This window comes from Homo sapiens, chromosome 1 (genome assembly GCF_000001405.40).
Source record: "Homo sapiens chromosome 1, GRCh38.p14 Primary Assembly".
NCBI lineage: Eukaryota > Metazoa > Chordata > Mammalia > Primates > Hominidae > Homo > Homo sapiens.
Genome location: NC_000001.11, coordinates 232,116,396 through 232,124,318, shown reverse-complemented (window position 1 = coordinate 232,124,318; position 7,923 = coordinate 232,116,396). Strand labels below are relative to the sequence as shown.

The 7,923-nt window shown below is 45.1% G+C and overlaps 4 annotated features.

The window, feature by feature from the left end:
* Nucleotides 1-654: an enhancer, noted in NCBI's record as "OCT4-NANOG-H3K27ac hESC enhancer chr1:232259411-232260064 (GRCh37/hg19 assembly coordinates)". NCBI's record gives its function as "activates a minimal SCP1, AML or CMV promoter by ChIP-STARR-seq in naive and primed H9 embryonic stem cells {active_cell/tissue: H9 hESC(naive and primed)}" and the evidence as "EXISTENCE:reporter gene assay evidence [ECO:0000049][PMID:30033119]".
* Nucleotides 655-1,308: an enhancer, noted in NCBI's record as "OCT4-NANOG-H3K27ac hESC enhancer chr1:232258757-232259410 (GRCh37/hg19 assembly coordinates)". NCBI's record gives its function as "activates a minimal SCP1, AML or CMV promoter by ChIP-STARR-seq in naive and primed H9 embryonic stem cells {active_cell/tissue: H9 hESC(naive and primed)}" and the evidence as "EXISTENCE:reporter gene assay evidence [ECO:0000049][PMID:30033119]".
* Nucleotides 1,309-1,962: an enhancer, noted in NCBI's record as "H3K27ac hESC enhancer chr1:232258103-232258756 (GRCh37/hg19 assembly coordinates)". NCBI's record gives its function as "activates a minimal SCP1, AML or CMV promoter by ChIP-STARR-seq in naive H9 embryonic stem cells {active_cell/tissue: H9 hESC(naive)}" and the evidence as "EXISTENCE:reporter gene assay evidence [ECO:0000049][PMID:30033119]".
* Nucleotides 5,717-6,522: an enhancer, noted in NCBI's record as "OCT4-NANOG-H3K27ac-H3K4me1 hESC enhancer chr1:232253543-232254348 (GRCh37/hg19 assembly coordinates)". NCBI's record gives its function as "activates a minimal SCP1, AML or CMV promoter by ChIP-STARR-seq in naive and primed H9 embryonic stem cells {active_cell/tissue: H9 hESC(naive and primed)}" and the evidence as "EXISTENCE:reporter gene assay evidence [ECO:0000049][PMID:30033119]".

Here is a 7,923-nt window from a genome sequence, read left to right as displayed (position 1 = left end):
CTCAGAAAGCTAGAAACAGAAGGGAATTTCCCTATGAAAAACCTACAGATAATATCAGATTCTATGGTTAAAGACTGAAATCTTTCCCCTTAAGTTCAGGAACAAAACAAGAATGTCTGCTTTCACCACTGCTGTACAACATTGCACTAAAACCCCTACGCAGAGCAATTAAACATAAAAAAATAAAAGGCATCCAAATTAGAAAGAAAGAAGTAAAACTATTTTTTTCCTTAGACAGGTTCTTACTCTGTCACTCAGGCTGGAGTGCAGTGGCACAATCACAGCTCACTGCATCCTCAACCTCCCAGGCTCAAGTGATCCTCCCACTTTAACTTCCAGAGTAGCTGGGACCACAGGTGTGTGTCACCATGTTTCATGCGCGTCCGTGTGAAGAGACCACCAAACAGGCTTTGTGTGAGCAACATGGCTGTTTATTTCACCTGGGTGCAGGAGGGCTGAGTCCGAAAAGAGAGTCAGCGAAGGGAGATAAGGGTGGGGTCGTTTTATAGGATTTGGGTAGGTAAAGGAAAATTACAGTCAAAGGGGGTTTGTTCTCTGGCGGGCAGGAGTGGGGGTCGCAAGGTGCTCAGTGGGGGTGCTTTTTGAGCCAGGATGAGCCAGGAAAAGGACTTTCACAAGGTAATGTCATCACTTAAGGCAAGGACCAGCCATTTACACTTCTTTTGTGGTGCAATGTCATCAGTTAAGGTGGGGCAGGGCATATTCACTTCTTTTGTGATTCTTCAGTTACTTCAGGCCATCTGGGCATATATGTGCAAGTCACAGGGGATGCGATGGCTTGACTTGGGCTCAGAGGCCTGACATTCCTGCCTTCTTATATTAATAAGAAAAATAAAACAAAATAGTGTTGAAGTGTTGGGGCGGCGAAAATTTTTGGGGGGTGGTATGGAGAGAGAATGGGCAATGTTTCTCAGGGCTGCTTCAAGCGGGATTAGGGGCGGCGTGGGAACCTAGAGTGGGAGAGATTAAGCTGAAGGGAGGTCTTGTGGTAAGGGGTGATATTGTGGGGATGTTAGAAGAAATGTTTGTCGTATAGAATGATTGGTGATGGCCTGGATACGGTTTTGTATGAATTGAAAAACTAAATGGAATAACAGAAGGAGAAAAACAGGTATAAAAGGTCTAAGAATTGGGAGGACCTAGGACATCTGATTAGAGAGTGCCTAAGGAGATTCAGCATAGTCCTGCCAGCAAAGATTATTTATTTACTTCAAGAGTTAAGAGTGGCAGTTTGGGGATAGCACCAGGAGATATCAGCTGTGACGGCTTGGAAAAACAGTGTAAACCGGCAGTGTAAACAAGAGCAGGGCATGTATGAGTACTTGAGAACGGTGAATAGGAGTATTATGACTAGACAGAAAATAGTAGGGATGACAAGTTTTTTTTTGGGCGGGGGGGCACAGTCTAAGTTGGTCTGGTGTCCGGAATGAGACTGGGGCCTAATAAAAAGGAGCGTCCATACAGGAGCTCAAATGGGCTGTACCCTGTAGCATTCCCAGGACAGGCCTGAATTCTGAGAAGGGAAAGTGGTAAAAGTATTGTCCAGTCCTTTTTAAGTTGGTGGCTGAGCTTGGTGAGGTATGTTTTTAAAAGACCTTTAGTCCGTTCTACTTTTCTTGAAGACGGAGGACCGTAAGGGATATAAAGGTTTCACTGAATACTAAGAGCCTGAAAACCTGCTTGGCTGATTTGACTAATAAAGGCTCATCTGTTATCAGACTGTATAGAGGTGGGAAGGCTAAACTGAGGAATTATGCCTGACAGAAGGGAAGAAATGACTCCGGTGGCCTTCTCAGACCCTGTAGGAAAGGCCTTTACTTATTCAGTGAAAGTGTCTATTTAGACTAAGAGGTATTTTAGTTTTCTGACTCGGGCCTGTTGAGTAAAGCTAATCCGCCAGTCCTGGGTGGGGACAAATCCTCAAGCTTGATGTGTAGGGAAGGGAGGGGGCCTGAAGAATCCCTGAGGAGTAGTAGAATAGCAGATGGAACACTGAGAAGTTATTTCCTTGAGGATAGATTTCCACGATGGAAAGGAAATGAGAGGTTCTAAGAGGCGGGCTAGTGGCTTGTACTATAGTATAACCTGCCTTTGCTGGTGTGTGGCGATTAGGCCTGGTGGAACCGCCAGCAATAAATCAAGCGTGATCAGGGTGAGGAACAGGAAAGAAGGAAATTTGCGGAAATGGGGTGAATGTCAGGTGGATCAGAGAGATACAGTCATGGGGGTCAGGTGTGGTATCAGGAATAATGTGGGAGGCCAGATTGAAGTCTGGGCCAGGAACAACGGTAATTGTGGGAGACTCAACAAAGAGTGAGCACAGCTGAAGGAGCCGGGGAGCAGAAAGTATATGCGTCAGGTATGAGGAAGAAAATAGATTTTGGAAGTTATGAGAACTGTAGAGAGTGAGTTGAGCATAGTTTGTGATTCTGAGGGCCTCTAAAATATTAAAGCAGTGGCAGCCGCTGCACGCAGACATGAGCGCTAGGCTAAAACAGTAAGGTCAAGTTGTTTGGACAGAAAGGCTACAGGGTGTGGTCCCGGCTCTTGTGTAAGAATTCTGACTGCACTAACCATGCCTAGGAAGGAAAGGAGTTGTTGTTTTGTAGAAGGTGCTGGGGTTTGAGAGATCAGTCGGACACGATTGGCAGGGAGAGCACGTGTGTTTTTATGAGAATTATGCCGAGATAGGTAACAGATGAGGAAGAAATTTGGGCTTGATTGAAGTAATGGGGGCTGTCTGTGAAGCTTTGCGGCAGTACAGCCCAGGTAATTTGCTGAGCTTGATGGGTGTCAGGGTCAGTCCAAGTGAAAGCAAAGAGAGGCTGGGATGAAGGGTGCAAAGGAATAGTAAAGAAAGCATGTTTGAGATCTAGAACAGAATAATGGGTTGTAGAGGCAGGTATTGAGGATAGGAGAGTATATGGATTTGGCACCACAGGGTGGATAGGCAAAACAATTTGGTTGATAAGGCGCAGATCCTGAACTAACTTGTAAGGCTTGTCTGGTTTTAGGACAGGTAAAATGGGGGAATTGTAAGGAGAGTTTATAGGCTTTAAAAGGCCATGCTGTAGCAGGCAAGCGATAACAGGCTTTAATCTTTTTAAAGCGTGCTGCGGGATGGGATATTGGCGTTGAGTGGGGTAAGGGTGATTAGGTTTTAATGAGATGGTAAGGGGTGCATGATCGGTCACCAAGGAGGGAGTAGAGGTATCTTATACTTGTGGGTTAAGGTGGGGGGATACAAGAGGAGGACGCAAAGGAGGCTTTGGATTGGGAAGAAGGGCGGCAATGAGATTCAGCTGTAGTCCAGGAATAGTCAGGGAAGCAGATAATTTAGTTAAAGTGTCTCAGCCTAATAAGGGAACTGGGCAGGTGGGGATAACTAAAAAGGAGTGCTTAAAAGAGTATCGTCTAAGTTGGCACCAGAGTTGGGAAGTTTTAAGAGGTTTAGAAGCCTGGCTGTCAATATCTACAACAGTTATGGAGGCAAGGGAAACAGGCCCTTGAAAAGAAGGTAATGTGGAGTGGGTAGCCTCCGTATTGATTAAGAAAGGGACGGGCTTACCTTCTACTGTGAGAGTTACCCGAAGCTCAGCGTCCGTGATGGTCTAGGGGGCTTCCGAGGCGATCGGGCAGTGTCAGTCTTCAGCCGCTAAGCTGAGAAGATCTGGGAAGGAGTCAGTCAGAGAGCCTTGGGCCGGAGTTCCAGGGGCTCTGGGAGTGGCTGCCAGGTGAGTTGAACAGTCCGATTTTCAGTGGGGTCCCACACAGATGGGACGCGGCTTAGGAGGAATCCCGGGCTGCGGGCATTCCTTGGCCCGGTGGCCAGATTTCCGGCACGTGTAGCAAGCTCCTGGGGGAGGAGGTTCTGGAGGAACGCCTGGCTGCTGCGGTTCAGGCGTTTGGAAGTTCTTGTGTGCTGGAGATGTGGCTGGGGTTTGTCTCACAGAGGAGGCAAGGAATTGCAACTTTTTTCTGTTATTGTACACCTTGAAGGTGAGGTTAATTAAGTCCTGTTGTGGGGTTTGAGGGCCAGATTCCAATTTTTGGAGTTTTATTTAATGTCGGAAGCAGATTGGGTAATAAAACGTATATTGAGAATAAGACAGCCTTTTGACCTTTTAGGGTCCAGGGCTGTAAAGCGTCTCAGGGTTGCTGCCAAACAAGTCATGAACTGGGCTGGATTTTTATATTTGATGAAAAAGAGCCTAAACGCTATCTGATTTGGGATAAAGAAAAAGGAGCATTCACCTTGATTATGACTTTGGCTCCAGCCACCTTTTTAAGAGTAAATTGCTGGGCAGGTGGGGGAGGGCTAGTCACGGAACGAAACTGTAAGCCAGACCGGGTGTGAGGAGGGGAGGCGATAAAAAGATTATAGGGTGGAGGAGTGGAGGCCGAGGAATAATTGGGACCTAGCTTGGCCTGGTGAGGAGCAGGCTGGGGAGGAAGGGAGAGGTCAGATAGGTCTGTAGAAAAGGAAGATTAGAAAGACTCAGCGATGCTTGGGGTTGGTACTGAGGGGACAGGTGGGAGGGAAAGAAGGAAGATTTGGGACAAGTTGCACTGGGCACAGAGACTAGGAAGGGACTGATGTGTAAAAGAATGCCTGGATGTCAGGCACCTCAGACCGTTTGCCTATTTTACGACAAGAAGTATTTGGATTTTGCAGGATGGAAAAATTCGAAGTGCCATTTTCTGGCTATTTGGAACTACTGTCAAGTTTGTATTGGGGTCAAGCAGCATTGCAGTAGAAAATAAGGCATTTAGGTTTGAGGTCAGGTGTGAGTTGAAGAGGTTTTAAGTTTTTGAGAACACAGGCCAAGGGAGTAGAAGGAGGAATGGAGGGTGGAAGGTTGCCTATAGTGAAGGAAGCAAGCCTGGAGAAAAGAGAGAGTAGAGAAATGAAGGGAAGTTTGGGGGTTCTTACCTTCCAGAAAAGTGGGAAAAGGGGTTGGGGCACAGAGATAAGAGGTCGGGGTGTGGAAATAAGGGATGGGGTGCAGAAATAAGGGGTCAGAGCACAGAAATAAGGGGTCGGGGCACGGAAATAAGGGATTGGGGCGCAGAGATATAAGAGGTTGGGGCACGGAAATAAGGGATTGGGGCACAGAGATACGAGATTGGGGTACTTGCCCCTCCTCTAGAAAAGCAGGACTTGCCACTAAGGGTGAAGGAGAAGGGGTTGAGGGGTACTTGCCCCTCCCCCAGAAAAGCAGAGAAGGGGTAGAGACAAGGAGAGAAGGGGTTGGGGTACTTGCCCCTTTCCCAGAAAAGCGGGACTTGCCGCTAAGGGTGAAGGACCAAGGTGGGCGTCCCTGCATGGTCTGACACCTTTGAAATGTGGGTGAATGATCAGAGAGGCGTCCCTGCAATGATGAAACACCAAGGGAAGTCTGCCTTCCCAGTCCGTGACCAGCGCCGAGTTTTGAGTCCATGGTTAAAATGTGTCTCCTTTGTCTCTCCCAGAAAATGAAAGGAATTAAAATTAAGAGAAGGGAGAGATTGAAGAGTAGAAAGGAGAAAGTGGTTGAGGGACAGTGAGAGAGGTTGGAGAAGAGAGTAAGAAGAGGCCGCTTACCTGATTTAAAATTGGTGAGATGTTCCTTGGGCTGGTCGGTCTGAGGACCTGGGGTCGTAGGTGGATCTTTCTCATGGAGCAAAGAACAGGAGGACAGGGGATTGACCTCCCAAGGGAGGTCCCCCGATCCAAGTCACAGCACCAAATTTCATGCGCGTCCGTGTGAAGAGACCACCAAACAGGCTTTGTGTGAGCAACATGGCTGTTTATTTCACCTGGGTGCAAGCGGGCTCAGTCCGAAAAGAGAGTCAGCGAAGGGAGATAAGGGTGGGGCTGTTTTATAGGATTTGGGTAGGTAAAGGAAAATTACAGTCAAAGGGGGTTTGTTCTCTAGCGGGCAGGAGTGGGGGTCGCAAGGTGCTCAGTGGGGGAGCTTTTTGAGCCAGGATGAGCCAGGAAAAGGACTTTCACAAGGTAATGTCATCACTTAAGGCAAGGACCAGCCATTTACACTTCTTTTGTGGTGCAATGTCATCAGTTAAGGTGGGGCAGGGCATATTCACTTCTTTTGTGATTCTTCAGTTACTTCAGGCCATCTGGGCATATATGTGCAAGTCACAGGGGATGCGATGGCTTGGCTTGGGCTCAGAGGCCTGACACCATGCCTGGCTAATTTCTTTCCCTTTTCTTTTTCGTAAAGACATTGTGTATGTTGTCCAGGCTGGTCTCAAACTTCTGGGCTCAAGCGATCCTCCCACCTCGACTTCCCAAAGTGCTAGGATTCCATGCATGAGCCACTGTGCCAGCCTAATAAGTAAAACTATTTCTACACACAGATTACATTATTCTACACATATGAAATTTCCAAAATAATCCACTGAAAAAGCTACTGATGCTAATGAATGAATTCACTTATTAGCTGAAAGCTGAAAGGCACCACATCAACACACAAAAATCAGTAGTTTCTGTATAACAGTAATGAACTAGCTAATAAAGAAATTACAAAAGAAATCTATTTACAATAGCATCAAAAGAATACAATACCTAGGAATAAATTTATCCAAGGAAGTGAAAGACTCATACATTGCAAACTAGAAAACATTACTTTAAAAAAAATCAAAGAAGACCAAAATAAATGAAAATATTCCTATGATCATGGAAGACAATATTTTTAGGACATCAGTACTACCCAAAGCAATCTATAGAGTGAGTGTAATCCCTATCAAAATTAGAACTTCTCTTTTTTGCAGAAATGGAAAAGCTGAGCCTCAAATCCATATGGAATTTCAAGGCTTGGAATAGCCAAAAAAATTTTGAAAAAGAACAAAGCTGAAGGATTTATATTTCCTAATTATACAACTTTCTATAAAGCTACAGTAATCAAAAGTGTGGTATGGACATAATGATAAACATATAGACAAAATGAATATAATTGAGAGCCCCAAAATATTCATTTATCTATGGCCAATTGATTTTCAACAAGGATGCCAAAACCATTCAATGGGGAAAAGGTTGTTTCTTCAACAAATGGTGCTTAGACCATCACACATGTGAAAGAATGAACTTGAACTTCTTCACACCATGTGCAAATCTTAACTCAAAATGAGTCAATGATCTAAATATAAGAGCTAAAATCACAAAAATCTTAGAAGACAACATAGGGTTAAGTCTTTGTAACCTTCGATTTGGCAATCGATTCTTAAGTATAATACCCAAAGCACAAGCTACAAAGGTGTTGGACTTTATAAAAATAAACAATTGTGTGCATATGTGGGCATAATCAAGAAAGTACAAAGACATCGTACAGAATGGGAGAAAATATTTGCAAATTACAGATCTCATATGAATTCAATATTGAGAGTGTATAAAGAACTCTACAACTCAAGAGCAAAAAGAAAACCCCATTGAAAAATAGGCAATGGATTTAAATACACATTTTTCTCAAGAAGACGTACAAATGGCCCATAAGTACAGTAAAAAATACTCAACCTCATTAGTCATTAGAAGAAATGCAAATCAAAACCACAATGAGGTACCACTCAACACTAACTAGAATTGCTAAAATCAAACACCTGTAATCCCAGCACTTTGGGAGGCCGAGGTGGGCGGATCACCTGAGGTTGAGAGTTCAGGATCAGCCTGACCAACATGGAGAAACCCTGTCTCTACTAAAAATACAAAAATTAGCCAGGCATGGTGGTGCATGCCTGTAATCCCAGCTACTCAGGAGGCTGAGGCAGGAGAATCGCTTGAACCCAAGAGGTAAAGGTTGCAGTGAGCCAAGATAGCGCCATTGCACTCCAGCCTGGGCAACAAGAGCGAAACTCTGCCTCTCTCTCTCTCTGTCTCTGTGTATATATATACATACACCCCTAAAG